Source organism: Homo sapiens, chromosome 16 (genome assembly GCF_000001405.40).
Source record: "Homo sapiens chromosome 16, GRCh38.p14 Primary Assembly".
Classification (NCBI taxonomy): Eukaryota; Metazoa; Chordata; class Mammalia; order Primates; family Hominidae; genus Homo; species Homo sapiens.
Genome location: NC_000016.10, coordinates 35,318,352 through 35,333,979, shown reverse-complemented (window position 1 = coordinate 35,333,979; position 15,628 = coordinate 35,318,352). Strand labels below are relative to the sequence as shown.

Below are 15,628 nucleotides of genomic sequence, written 5' to 3'. Positions count from 1 at the left end.
GCTCAATGTAAGGTTGCAAAACACCTTCAATTTGTAAGAAATCCAATATCTATAAAGAACAATAAAGTGCAATAAGACTAGGTACGTCTGTGTAACAATCAATGTTCACTAGTAATATGCCTAGAAATTATACATAAAGGATGTTTGCATACATATAAAAGTAATTGACAACTTACATATTGGATGGGAGATAAAAATTACAAAATGATTTTTAAAGTGAATTAAAGGGTAGACCAAAACATTCCTGAGTGGACAGAATCAGTTAGACATCCTCAGTGACCTCTTCTTGTTGACTTGCAAACAAGCAAAACATAATGTGAGCTAATTTTTTTGTGAATGCCTGTATTAAAAAAAAAACAGAACTTAAGCTTAAGTTATCAGACGTACCCAAGAAACTTACAGTAATATACATCTATAAAGTAAACCAAAAAATACAATTTTATAACTGCAACAAATCAAAGAATTTTATTATTTGCTACTTCATTTTTTTCAATGCAATCTTACCTCTGACATTTTGCCATTGAAATGCTAAACCTCTTTTGCTCTGGTGTTCCACAATTTATAAGTTGCTTCTTACTCAAGAAAAATTTTTTGAAACAGGTTCTTGCTTTGTTGCTCATGTGGAATGTGTACGCAGAATCAAAGCTCTGTACAGGTTTACATCCTGAGCAAAAGCCATCCTCCCACCTTAGCCCCATGAGTAGCTGCAACTACAGGCATGCACCACCACACTTGGCTAATTTCTTCTTATTTCTATGTAGAGACTGGGTCTTACTATGTTTCCCAGGCTGACTTCAAACTCCTGGGTTCAAGTAATCTCAACTTGGCCTCTCAAAGTGCTGGAATCACAGATATAAACCACCATTCTCTGCCAAGAAAACTTTTAAAATTTGCATTGTGCTACAGTTTACTTTTTAACAGGACAAAATAAAATAAACTAGCTATACATAAATCTAACAAAAATTTGTAAAGCATATGAGAAAGACCATAAAAAGTCCTTGAAATATAAGAAAATCAGCATAAACAAATGGAAAACCACATCATGTTCTAAGGTAGAAAATCTCAATATTACTCAATCATCAATTTTTAGAAGTAATTTATATATTTAATTTTGTCCCACTAAAGATACCAACTGGTATTGGAAGCAGGCTTTTTATTGCAAAACTCATATAGATAAAAACACAAATAAGAACAGCTGAGAAAACTCTGAAAAAGTAGAGTGGCTATGCCACCCTATGAGACATGTTGATTTATGAATATATGGATAGCTCAGTGGAAGCACAAATTCAAAAATAAACCACAGTGCATAAGAAAGTGCCTTTGTTCAGGCTGCTAAAACAAAATACACTAGACTCAGTAATCCATAAACAACAGAAATGTTTGATCACTGTTCTGGAGGCTGGAAAGTTCAACATCAAAATACCAGCAAATTCAGTGTCTGGTGAGGGTCCTGTTTCTCATAAATGGTATTTCTTGCTGTGCCTCACGTGGCAGCCAGGAAAAGTGTGCTCCCTTCAACCTCTATTACAGGGTATTAATTACATTTATGAAGATGAAGCCCTCCTGAGTGAGTCACTTCCCAAAAGCCTCCATGTTTTAAAACTAGCATATTAGGGATTAAATTTTTACAAACGAGTTTTTACAAGTAGACACAAATTCAGGCCATAGCAAAAAGTTAATTGGCAGTACAGACTGCAGTTGGGTTGGCACCATTAATGCTTTGAGTTTAGGAATCTGATGTTTCTATCATAAAGGTAAAAACTAATGTGCTAATTATAACCTGCAATACAATAAAAGTCAAATGAAAGATAAATCTATATGGTATAAAAATCAAGTTTTTAAAGGTGAATTCTTACAGGTTGTATCCTGGGGATGAATAAGACCCCAGAGATTCCTCCTGTGACTTTTTTACTGAAGTTTCTGACACTCTTACTCAATTTGAAAGTGTGTAAAAATGTTTTCTGTTTCTGTCTTTAAGAAATTCAAAATAAAGTTGGCTTCCATATGCTTGATCTAAAACAATTATTCATTCAGTGGTGCTCTGATGAGGAAGGGCACTGAATCTCACACGCCCAGAAGCATCATGTTCTGTCAGATACAGGACTTCTCCTTGAGGCAGAACCTCACCATTCACACATGGTCAGAGGCTTTCCCAGGCGTGGACTGTTCTGTGCTCTCCCACACAGGCTCAGCCCTGAGCATATGACTCTGTAAGTGACTGATGAATATGTGCCCTAGTACTCTAATTTACAGGGATTTTGTTTTCTATTAATGATCTTTTCCAAAGCTCTAGGGTCTTTCCTGAATCCACCTACCACACACAGATAGACTGGTAGATTTGGACAGAAGCTTGGATCCTCACTCGAAGCCTTGCCTGTCCCACCAGCTTCTCTAGAAGTACAATGTTCAAATTACTCCTGAGAGACAGGACATCAGGGCATCTCTCTGTGCCAATAATTGAATAAAAGTGAGAAGAGAAACAGGCAAAAATTTCCACTGAGGGCTGCATCTAAGGATCTAGTTGCCAGACTTATATATCTTTTTACACAAATATTGACAAATGTAATTTCATCTTAAGATGAAAAACAAAATAAAGAACCACACCTCACAGAGGAATGAGAAAATGAAATCAATGCTCTATAGAATCCAGCTTACCTCAGCCATGGGGTGGTAAGTCTCCTTGTCCTCGATCATCAGAAACAACTGTGGCCTCAGACAGCTGGCCACTGAGGATGCAGGATGTTCACTGGGATTCCAGGTCTACATCACAGAGAGATGGAATTCCCAGGAGAAGCTGAACCCACAGGTCCTGTTCTACCATTTGGTCTAACTAATACTACTCCTATTCCTCCTCCTAGCCCAACAGGATTCGCCAACTCTTCTCTGGGCCTCACTAGGGATAGTTCAGAAAGACAAAAAGTTATTAAAGACCCTCTGTTTCTGTAGTTTCTGGCATCTAATTTGTTCATTTTTAGGTTTTGGGTTTTTGTCCTCCCTCTACATCCACATAATTTTTGTGTCCTATTCCAGTACCTATAACTTTAAGTAGTCATTTTTTTCTAGTCTACTCACCCATACTGTTTTCTAGTCATTTCATTTTTTTCTGGTAGAGTGAGGTGATATAGACACAAGAACTTCTATATAAAAATTCACTATAACTAAGTTGAGCACCACAACCCCTCTTTGGGCTGGACGGTCATTCAGAAAATGTAAAAACCAGATTTGCCTGGGGTTGCAGTTAACTAAATGAAAGATACATCTTGTCCAGGAATGCTCGGTGGGAAATCTCATTTGAAAATGGATGCCTATAGACCTCAGTGATATTCTCTTCAGCTTGGAGTCAGTCAAGAAAAAGATTTTTGGGTGCTAAGGGAAAAGTTACATTCAATCAACAAATTACCTAGCCAACATGTGTGGACCCAGAGAAAAAAAGGAAGTAAAATCAAACAGTTTGCCATGTTGACAGATATAATAATTTGATTAAAATGCAAGTGGCCTCAAAACCCTAAAGGTTACATGAATGAGCTTCAAGGGACACACGGTGTGGCTGGAGTCAGCTGACTATTATGCTAAAGGTGAGACATGATCAATACCTCAGGAAGTGAGCCAAAGACCAATGCAATTATCATGCCAGGAATGGTCTGTCACCTTCTAAACCATGAGACAAACAGGTCAACTTTCAGTAAGAAGCACAGGTCTGGCATGCAGTGGTGACCTCTGCATTACGCATGGATTCAGGCTTGGTTTCTGGCTTAATTGTGGTTAGTATTTTCAGAGAAGAGACACTTTCCACGAACTCCTAAATGAATTACCTGACAAATCAGCAGCTAAAATTCTTTCTGATTTGAAGCCAAATAAAGGATGTCCTTTACCAAATAGCCTTTAGTTTCAATGTGGAAGATTAAACAGTTAGAACATGGCCAATGATCCGAAACCCTGAGCTCTTACCATTAAGAGGAGCAACCACCCCTGCTTCAGGTTCTGTGTGGCTGGCACTGAGGTTAGACATCCACAGCCACCCAGTAAGCACCTTAAGGTGGCAGATTTCTTGACTCATCAGGGAATTAGGGGCAAGCATCTAGAAAACATTCAGTAAATTGAAGACCCCATAAAGCCAGGAGTTTTGCTTTAAACAGTGGAGTGGGATCTATTAGTTCATTTTAATCCTGCTAATAAAGACATACCTGAGACTGGGCAATTTGCAAAAGAAAGAGTTTTAAAGGACCTACAGTTTTACGTGCTGGAGAGGCCTTACAATTATGGCAGAAGATGAAATGCATGTCTCACATGGTGGCAGACAAAAGAAGAGAGAATGAGAGTAAAGTAAAGTAAAAAATGGTTTCTCCTTATAAAACCATCAGATCTCGTGAGACTTATTTATTACCACCAGAACACTATAGGGAAATGTGACCCCATGATTCAATTATCTCCTACTGACCCCTCCCACAAAACTTGGGAATTACAGGAGCTAAAACTCAAGATGAGATTTGGGTGGAAACACAACCAAACCATATCAAGGAGCATAAAGTTTTCACCAAAGAACCTAATTTTTCTATTACAGCTAAGAAGTTCCTGTGACAGTCCAATTTTCCTTTAAAATATGTTATATTCTATGTGGCATTCTGATGTCTTGGAGAACTCAAATTTACTCACTTCAGAATTGGAATATCAAGCTGGGAAGTCCCAAGCCCTTGATGTGTCAGGATTAAGTTTTACAGGAGCTTCAAAGCAAGCTCATCAATGACTTTCAAATCAGTGTAAGTAGTGGTGTCAGGAAGACTATGTTTCAAAAACTTTAAGGGGCACCTCTATGTGGAGGCTGACTCCCTCTCTCAGAGGGTTCAAATGAAAACAATATCAAGTATTCCTTGGCTGCTGGAAGAAGTGAACTATGTAAATCTGCCCACATAGTCCCCGTGAATCTTAACTGGAAAACAGGACTATGGGATATTGGGGATTTTATCAGCTCCTGGCAGAGAGATGTTACCATTCTAGACAGGAGCATGAAGGCAGATGCTTCTAAATTGGCAGCCAATAAAAATTACCTACAGAGTTAAACTTTTTGGACATCAGAGGGTAGAGGCACTCATGATGAATTCTGCCCTGCCACTGTGGCAAATGGCAGGCAAGTTTGTCTCACTTACACTTCTCTACCTGTTCCTCACCCAATTTAGAATAATCCCCTCTGGCACTTAAGGAGCAGGCAAGGACAAAAACACGTAACCTGACAATTGCTACTATAGGTTCTGATACACAAACACAACAGGACATTGATGGAGTCAAAAGACTCCACCTCCATTGTTATGTGACCCTCCCACCTTCACTGTCACCCTCCCCAAACACTATTATTTGAGTTTTCCTCTTTTTTTAAATTTTATTGTTTACTTTTATGTTATCTTCTATGTAAACAAAAATTTTAAAATTACACTATCCACAGGAAAGGGGAATACAAAACACCAATAAAGACTGGCACAGGTGTCTGTTGGGGATAGAAAACAGCAATGTTTTCTATCCCCAACATTTCACCCTGAGGTCTGTGCTGTCCCCTCACCTCTGTACCATCCAGCATTTGGAAAGTATTCAGGATCAGCAGCTTCCAATTGATGAAGGAGGGTGAAGTCCAAGATCAAGGTGTGGGCAAGGTGGGTTTCTTCCAAGGCCTCTCTCCTGGGGTTGTAAGTGGCTGCCTTCTCCTTGTGTCCTCACATGGCTGTTTCTCTGTGTGCACATCTGTATCCTTATCTCCTCTTTCATGGATACATCAGTTAAATTGAATTAGGGCCCACCCTAAGGTCCTCATTTTATAAACTTTTTTATTGTAACTGATAATGATTGTCTACATTTATGGTACTGTTTTGAAATATGCACACATTGTGAAATGGTTAACCCAAGCTAGTTGGCATATGCGTTACCTCACACACCCATCTTTTTTTGTTGTGAGAACACTCAAAATCTACTTTCTTAGCAATGTGCAAGAATAGAATAAATTGGCCGGGCGCGGTGGCTCACGCCTGTAATCCCAGCACTTTGGGAGGCCGAGGCGGGCGGATCACGAGGTCAGGAGATCGAGACCATCCTGGCTAACACGGTGAAACCCCGTCTCTACTAAAAATACAAAAAATTAGCCGGGCGAGGTGGCGGGCGCCTGTAGTCCCAGCTACTCGGGAGGCTGAGGCAGGAGAATGGCGTGAACCCCAGGGGGCGGAGCCTGCAGTGAGCCGAGATTGCGCCACTGCACTCCAGCCTGGGCGACAGCGAGACTCCGTCTCAAAAAAAAAAAAAAAAAAAGAATAGAATAAATTAACTGTAGTCACCAAGTGCAATAGATCTCTTGCACTTATTCTTCCTGTCTAACTGAAATTTTGTATAATTTGACCAACTCCTGATTCCCCAACCTCTGCTCCCAAAGACCTCATTTTAACGTAATTACCTCTGTGATGACACTATCTCCAAATATAGTCACATCCTTAGGTGCTGAGTGTTAAGGTGTCAACATATGAATTTTGGGAAGCACACGATTCAGCTCACAGTAGCCTCTGTCAGGACATAACGTTTACATTGTGATCCCAGTAACCTCGCAATAGAGGGAATGACATGCAAAGATTCTGAGGAAGAAAATTCCAGGCAGGGAATTCTGTTGAGCAATGGCCCTGAAATGGGAGTGAACAGGGTGCGTTTGAGGAACCAGAGACCAGTGGCAGAGGGCATGGGGTGCAGAATGCAAAGGGAGGACATGAAGTCGCAGAGTTCCGGTGAGATATGTAAACTTGACTGTGATTTCATTTCCCATGCGGTGAGAAGTCATTGGAGGGTTTTCAGCAAGAGGCACAATCAGATTCATATGTTTAAAAGCTTTTTCCAGTTGCTTTATGGAGAATTAATTCTAAAGAGGGCAAATATGGAAACGAGGAGCCTTTTTCGCAGGTCAGGTGGAAGTGATGGTGGCTTCGACTGAGTGATGCGGAATAAGAATGAAGCAGGTGGGCCAGGCGCGGTGGCTCATGCCTGTAATCCCAGCACTTTGGGAGGCCGAGGAGGGCAGATCACGAGGTCGGGAGATTGAGACCATCCTGGCTAACACGGTGAAACCTCATCTCTACTAAAAATACAAAAAAATTAGCCGGGCGTGGTGGCGGGCGCCTGTAGTCCCAGCTACTTGCGAGGCTGAGGCCGGAGAATGGCGTGAACCCGGGAGGCGGAGCTTGCAGTGAGTGGAGATCATGCCACTGCACTCCAGCCTGGGCAACAATGTGAGACTCCGTCTCCAGAAAAAAAAAAAAAAAAGATATAAACTAGAAAGAAGCTGTCTGTGAAACTGCTTTGTGATGTGTGGATTCATCTGACAGAGATAAAACTTTCATTTGATTCAGCAGGATGCAAATGATTCTTTCAGGTCCTGCTTTGCATATTTAGATAGATATTCAGAAATGGGGTTGCTAGATCATATGATAATTCCATTTTTAATATTCTTAGGAAGTTCTCTACTATTCTTCATAATGGCTGCATTATTATTTTTTTCACCACCAGTGCACAATGTTCCAATTTCTCTACATCCTTGAAAACATTTGTTATTTTTTCTTGTTTGATAGTGACCATCCTAATGAGTGTGAGGTAATATCTCATTGGGGTTTTGCTTTTTATTTCTATAAAGATTTGTGGTTTTGAGCATCTTTTCAAATTCCTCTTGACCATTTGTATGTCTGCTTTGTAAAATCATCTGTTGAGCATTTTGCCCATTTTTAAATAGGGTTATTCACCTTATGTTGTTGAGTTGTAGAAGTTGTTTATAGATTCTGGGTATTATCTTCTATCAAATATATAATTTGGGATTTTTTATCCATTCAGCATTTTTACTCCATTCAATGTTTTTTTGATGTCCAGAAAGCTTATGTCACTTGATATAGTCCGATTTTTCTGTTTTTATTCTTGTTACTTCCGCTTTTAATGTCGTGTTTAAAAAATTACCAAGAAAAATGTCATAATTGTTTATTCTATGTTTTATTTTAAGAGTTGTATAGCTATCTTACTTACATTTAAGTGTTTAATTCATTTAAGACATTTTTATCTATGGTGCAAGTAAAAAGTCCAATTTTATTTTCTTCTATTTTGATATTCAGTTTTACAACACTATTTGTTAAAGAGTCTGTTCTTTCCCTGTTGTTTGGTCATGGAAACTTGATTAAAAATTATTTTATGATATTCATGAAAGTTTATTTCTGGGTTCTCTATTCTGTCCCATCATTTATTTGTCTTTCTATTTGTATTGCTATAGTTTTGTAATATGTTTTGGAATCAGGAAGTGTGATACCTCTAACTTTGTTCTTTTCTGAAGCTATTTTGGCTACTCATTGTCCCTTGATATTCCATATGAGTTTTAGGAGTTAAAACAATATTTATGCAAAAAAATTCTCAGCATCCCTTCCAGCCTGGCCTTGAGATATTATATGAATTTTAGGACTTAATATTTTTGCAAAAAATGTAGCATTGGGGTCTTGATAGAAAATACTTCAAATTTCTGCTTCACTGTGAGTAGTATTGACATCTTAACAATATTAGGTTTTCTGTCCCTTGAACACAAGGTCAAGTGTGTGCTGTTTTAAGTTTGATATATTTTTTCGTTTGCCAGTTTTCTTCTGCTTGTGACCTGTAGATGAGAGCTTATTATGTTGCCCAGGCTGGTCTCCAACTTTTGGCCTCAAGATATTCTCCCTCCTCAGACTCCTGATGTGTTTGGATTACATAGATGAGCCACTGCACCTGGTGTCTTTATTGTTTTTATGTTATTTTTATGATTTGAAGGTAATTTTTGGAAAATGTTTATAAATATGTTTCTGTTTAGAAGTTTTTTCAATTTTAATGTGTCAAAAACATGTACAATTTACCATCTTAAATATTTTAAGTACATAGTTAAATATTATTAAATGTATTTGCTTTGATATATAACATATCTCTAGGATGTTTTTATGCTGCAAAACTAAAACTCAATAATCATAAAACAACAACTATCCCTTTATCTCCTCCCCTAAGGCTCTGACTAATACTATTCTACTTTCCGTTTCTAGGAGTTTAACTACTTTAGATTTCTTATTTAGCTGGAATTACAGTGTCTGTCTTTTTGTGACTAGTTTATTTTACTTACGTAATGTCCTCAAGATTTATCCTTAGTGTAAAAATAATCAGATCTCCTGCTTTTCCAAAGGTGAATAATATTCCATTATTTGTATATTCCAAATTGTCTTTATCCGTTTATTCACTGAGGGACATTTGGGTTGCTTCCACCTGTCAGCCTTTGTGAATAATGCTGCAATGAATATGGATATACAAATAACTCTTCATTTGGTCATATATATGAGTTTATTTCTGTGCCTTATTCCGGTCCATTGGTCTGTCTGTCTGCCTTTATGCCAGTACCAAATGGTTTGGTTACTATAGTTTTCTAACACATTATGAAGTCAAGGAGTGTGATGCCTCCAATATAATTTCTTTTTTTGAAGATTGTTTGGCTTTTTATAGTCCGTTTAGAGTCCATATGAGTTTTAGAAATGTTTTTGTATTTCTGCACATTGAAAAGGCAGTTAATATTTGATGGAGATTGCATTGAATGTGTAGATCACTTTGGGTACTGTGGACGTCTTCACAATACTGTCTTCCAACCATTGAAGAAGAACTGCTCAAGAGTGTGTTAATTTCCACATGTTTGTAGATATTCCAGTATTTTTTCTGCTCTTAATTTCTAATACTATTTCCTTTTAATCAAAACTGACAGTTTGTAATACTTTAATTTTTTTTTGAGACAGGGTTTTGCTCTGTTGCTCAGGCTGAAGCACAGTGGCTCAATGATGGCTAACCACAGCCTTGATCTCCCAGGCTCAATAAATCCTCCCACCTCAGCCTCATTAGTATCTGGAAGCACAGGCATGCCCAGCTAATTATTTTTATTTTATATTTTGTAGAGACAGGGTCTCCCTATGTTGCCCAGGCTAGCCTTGAACTCCTAAACTCACTCAATCCTCCAACCTCAGCCTCCCATAATGCTGCAATTATAGGTATGGGCTACCATGTCTGGCCCATATTTTAATATTTTAAAATTTAGTAAAACTTGTTTTGCATCCTAGTAGGTCATCTACCCAGGAGAATGTTTCATGACCTATTGAAAAGATTGTGTATTCTGATGTTGTTGTGTGGAGTGTTTTTTTCTTTTTTCTTTTTTACTTCTTTTCACTGTAACTAGTGTTTTCTAAATGTCTTTTAGGTTTACACAGTTTGCAGTGTTATTCAAATCCTCTGTTTTCATGTTAACATTCTGTCTGGCTTTATTATTCATTACTGATAGTGGGGTAATTATGTCTCTTACTATTTTTGCATAGCTGTTTCTTTCTTCATTTGTGTCAATGTTAGCTTTACATGTCTGGGAACCATGATGTGAAGTGTGCATATATTTATTATTAATACAACTTCCCCAGTGAATCAACTCTTTTGTCATTATATCATATCTTTCTTTGTCTCTTATATCAGTTTTGACTTAATGTGTATTTTGCAAAATTATGACCCCTCTTGCTGTCATTTGATTGCAATTTTCCTACAAAGTATTTTTCATACTGCCATTTTTAGCCTATCTGTTTGCTTAGATCTAAAGTGAGTTTCTTATAGATAGCAAAAAATAAATCTTGTTTTTTTTTTAATCTCTTTAGCCAATGTATGTATTTTTATTGGAAATTTTACTCCATGTATATATTCATTTTAATTCTGGAAAGAATGGACTATTTCCATTTTGTTAATAGTTCTATTTGTTTGATGTGGCTATTTTATCCTATTTTTTGTTCTTATTCCCTTCCTTTGTGTTTAATTGGTATTTATGGTGACATGTTTTTATTTCTTTCTATTTTAATTTGCCAAGGCCAAATTGCAAGATAAAAAGTTTGCCTTTAATCCATTCTTTTGACATCTAAGTTCTGGAAGTCAAGGCTATGGACTGATCTAAAACCATGAAGTTTTCCCTTCTGGAGCCCAATCTTGTTTGGACTGCTGCCTGATCTCTGGAGGAGTGATGAGTCCACACCAAGAAGCAGTGAATAGCAGTGATCTACCTGTGAACACTTGTTTCTGGTACGCCCCATCCATCTCTCAGGGTGCCACCTCTCTTACCCTTGAAACAGGAGAGATATTGGCAGAGAAGGGGCATTCCCTCCCATCTGGCAGAAAAGGAGAATTCAGGCCCTTTACCTCCCTAAGGTCAGAAAAGTCAGAGCTCTCAGAGATGCACTTGCAATGTGGCAGCCACTGACCACAGGGGGTTACCGAGCACCTGTATTGTATACAGTATGAACTGATATATGATGGGGAAAAATACAAGAAAGTATTTTAAAGATTTAGTTATATATATATATATCTTAAATAATTTAATTCTGATTATATGTTAAAATATTTTGGATATATTGGGTTATCAAAATCAATTTTACTCATTTTTCTTTTTCTTTATGCTGCTACTACAAAATTTTAATTGATACACATGGCTCACATTTTACTTCTGTTACACATTGCTGCAATAGAGGGTCACCTATTTGCAAAGCTCAGTCTTCCTCAAAAGCCAAGAGGCCAGAAAGATTGTAAAATCTAAAATTTAAAAATTATTGTCATTGGCCAGTGCTGTGGCTCACGCCTGTAATCCCAGCACTTTGGGAGGCCAAGGTAGGTGGATCACTTGAGCACAGGAGTTCAGAACAAGCCTGGCCAACATGGCAAAATCCTTTCTCTACTAAAAATACAAAAATTAGACAGGCGAGGTGGCAGGCGCCTGTAATCCCAGCTATTCAGGAGGCTGAGACAGAAGAATTGCTTGAATCTGGGGGGCAGATGTTGCAGTGAGTAGAGATTGCACCACTCTACTCCAGCTTAAGTGATAGAGTGAGATTCTGTCTCAAAAAAATAAAAATAGAAATAATTGTCATTATGTTGTTTTCATCTTGAATAATACACACACACACTCACCCACACACATCCCTCCCTCCACACACACACAGAGTGAGGGAGAGAAAGAGAAAGCAGATCTCCCTCTGTCACCCAGGCTGGAATGCAGTGGCCTGATCTCAGCTCACTGCAGCCTCTACCTCCTAGGCTTAAATGACCCTCCCACCTCTGCCTCCCAAGTAGCTGGGGCCACAGACACACGCGACTATTCCTGGCTAATTTTTTCATTTCTTTATAGAAAAGGTGAAGGGTATGGTGCTAACATTATATTGACCAAGCTGGTTTTGAACTCCTGGTTTCAAGAGCTCCTCCCCCCTCAGCCTACCAAAGTGCTGGGATTACAGGTGAGCTCCACCATGCCTAGCCTCATATATAGCATAAGGAGGAAGTCCTGCCTGAAAATAGCTGCAGCTAGAAACTTTTCACTCTGTCCTCATTTGGCCATATATGAGTTGGTTCACATCTTCAGTCACTCAGGACCCAAAGGGGTGAAGCCTGGAGTTCTATTTTCCACTCACTGGTGCTGGGGCAAAAACTTTCCTCAAACTATTAGTTTAATGCCTAGCAATGCTAATTTTTAGTGAGAAACTTAAAATTACTTATCATAACAAGACTTTAAGATTTTAAATTACCAAATAAAAAATTAAAATTATAACATGGGTACTTTCTCTAATTTTGGGGGGGTTCAAGTACCTATATTATATATTGAAACCTACTGTTTCTGTAAGCCCTACTCTTAAGTCAAAACAGCCTTGATGTTATTGTGAAAAGGTACTTAGCATTAATCCTACCCTTAGGCAAATTTATATAGTGATTTCAATTGTCCTACACATTACTTTCCTGTGATAAGTGTCTGGGTTTAGGAGGTAACAGTGCGGGGATCCACCATCTTCAGCCATCTGAGACATAGCTTCTATTTGTAAGTCCCTCTTAAATGTTTCCTTCTGAGAAACTGTCAGCCTCTTTCTTCAACCTTTCAACATCCTTGGCCTTTAAAGATAGGTTTACATATACCTACTCATGACAAAACAAGGTTATATATATATGGTCTGTCCATTACTAGAACATTGTTATGTGGTTCATGACTGTAATGTGTGGCACATGTAGTTTTGTACATGAATAGTATACTTTATATAGTATATTTTATATAGCTGCTTTCTATTACACATCACTAAAATACATGTTCAGTAAGTGCTCACTTAATGTCATTGATAGATTCTTGGAAACTGACACTTTAAGTAAAACAATGTACTATATAATAAAACCAATTTTACCATTGGTTAATTGATACAAACAAGAGTTAACTTCCTATGGTATGTAGTATTTTGTTTCACTTAAAGTCAGTTTCCAAGAACCTATCAATAAAGTGAGAATATACTGTAATTAGTATTATAGTATATAGTACATTACTGCATTATACTATTATAGAATGTTATTGTAGTCTTAGCAGTTGGTAGGGTAATGTGTTTCAGTTTCCCCCAAGATCGCAGAATTATTCAGACAAACCAATAACAACCTCCTGTGGGAACCAGGAGCATCTCATCCCTTGATACTACAGAGCCTTCCCCGGACAACTCCTGTTTGTTCTCTCTGCTCCCAAGAGCAATCCCTGTGTGGGTCTATTTACCTTACATAATTCCCTCTTTCCATGATTATATGTAATGAATAACTGCTGTCAATCTCATTAGTCCAGTGAGTGGTGCCATGATTTTAACTGCTCCAGTAGCCCTAGGGTGGTAATTTTTCCCTCAAACAATTCACAACACAAACTGGATTAACCACCCATAACTGAGGACAGCTGCTCAACTGTAACTGCTTTTGGCCTACTGGTTTCATAATACATTAAAACCCACCTCAGTCAGAAGCACCAACTGCTGGTAGGCTTTTGCTTTGGTCTAAAAAGCAGTTTGGGGCCTTTATCAAGAGTTGCCTTCCCTGCCCACACTAAAGCACACTCATCACCTAGACATAAATGGTCAATTGACTCTTTTCCAACCTGATGTGTAGTCAGGTTTAGCCTGTGTTTGGCAGGCAGTTTGCTGCCTGTCAAGGCAGTGAAAACACAGCACCTTAATCCGTCAGCACTTCAGTCCTGATTTCCAAGAGTCCGGCTATATCCCTGTGATCACTTCATCTGATCTGGTTATCATTACTAAATGCCTGGGTAGTCATCTGAACATTGTTTATTATTGCACACTCTCAGGACAGGCCCAGGGATAGTCTTTTGTAAAACTGCAGAAACAAAAGAGACTTTCACTTTAGAAAGAATTATGCATGTCACTCAGTTGCTCTAACAAGTGCTACTGTCATGCAAGCAAGAACAGTGGCCTTCTCTTTTCTGAGCTTCTGCTTCCTTTGCTGCTGTCATGAGCTCTCCTGATGAGGTGCATATTGCTTGTGCCTTATGGTTCAGGCACTGATGAGTAATCAAAAGGAAAAAGACCATTTGCTATGAGGCCCTCCCAAAAGCCCTATCCAGAGGGGTTTGTGGACCTTTGTAATTAGTATTATGTGTAATAAATACACATTTATTTTTTGAACAATTTTTGAGAGTTTTCATATTAGTTGTTGATTTACTTTTATACCCCATTTAATTCTTCTCTCTCACTCTTCTCCTTCTCAGACTCAGTCATTTCACAGGTCTCTATGGCTCAGTTTATTTTCTTTAAATTTTGTAGATTTACTTTTGTACCCCATTTAAGTTTTTCTATCTCTCCCCTTTTCTCAAACTCAGTCATCCCACAGGTCTGTAAGGCTCTGTTCATTTTCCTTAAACTTTTTAAAACTTTTCAAATTGTATCTTCAGATTGGATAATTTCTATTGCTGTGTCTTCTGTTTCTGATCTATACATAAGCTCAAATTATTATTTTTATTTCTTATTTTTATATTTGGGTATTTTTCATTTCTTTGCTGAGTTTCCACATTTGTTCATTTGTAAGAATACTTTCCTTTGTCACCATGAGCATACTTATAATAGCTGCCTTCAAATTATTTTTTTTTTTAGACGGAGTCTCATTCTTTCACCCAGACTGGAGTGCAGTGGTGCGATCTTGGCTAACCGCAACATCTGCTCCCGGGTTCAAGTGATTCTTCTGCCTCAGCCTCCTGAGTAGCTGGGACTACGGATGCATTCCACCATGCCTGGCTAATTTTTTGTATTTTTAGTAGAGACGGGGTTTCACCATGTTAGCCAGGATGGTCTCAATCTCCTGACCTCATGATCCACCTGCCTCAGCCTCCCAAAATGCTGGGGTTACAGGCATGAGCCACCGCACCCAGGCTCTGCCTTCAAATTTTTGTCTGCTGATTATGTCTCAGACATTTTGGAAATGTCTACTGCCTGCTTTTTATCTTGTGTATGTATTACATTTTCATGTGTCTTCACCCATCTCATGAATTTGAAAATTGTGCACTACAGACTGTATAGAAGAGTTATAGAGACTCTGGATTCTGTTGTGTCCCATTGAAGGGTGTTGATTTTTAAAGAGCGTGTTGATTGGGCTGGATTCTAATTTCAATGCTTATCTCTTCTATGGATGGCACAAGGGACATCCTCATTCACTTCTTATACACACATATCTCATGTATGTATTATATATAGAAGTTTTATAATGATACATACTATTTTATTCAGTATTCATCATTTTTCTTTGTGAGAGT

General features: G+C 38.2%; 2 long non-coding RNA genes across 4 annotated transcripts; one reads left to right on the top strand and one right to left on the bottom strand.

Annotated features, from left to right (window-relative positions):
- Positions 1–86: 86 nt before the first annotated feature.
- LOC105371198 (uncharacterized) lies at positions 87–6,513 on the bottom strand. Of its 2 annotated transcripts, none has more exons than XR_942152.1 (4): positions 6,431–6,513; positions 5,552–5,747; positions 2,656–2,893; positions 87–340 (listed from the first exon to the last, which is right to left on the bottom strand). It is a non-coding gene; the product is annotated as an uncharacterized LOC105371198 (long non-coding RNA). The 2 variants fall into 2 exon arrangements; XR_007065189.1 differs by having other exon boundaries at positions 2,656–2,760.
- LOC105371199 (uncharacterized) lies at positions 6,269–14,949 on the top strand. 2 transcript variants are annotated; one of them, XR_942153.1, is made up of 4 exons: positions 6,269–6,752; positions 8,627–8,799; positions 10,898–11,106; positions 12,206–14,949. It is a non-coding gene; the product is annotated as an uncharacterized LOC105371199 (long non-coding RNA). The 2 variants fall into 2 exon arrangements; XR_942154.1 differs by lacking the exon at positions 8,627–8,799.
- The last annotated feature ends 679 nt before the right edge of the window (positions 14,950–15,628 follow it).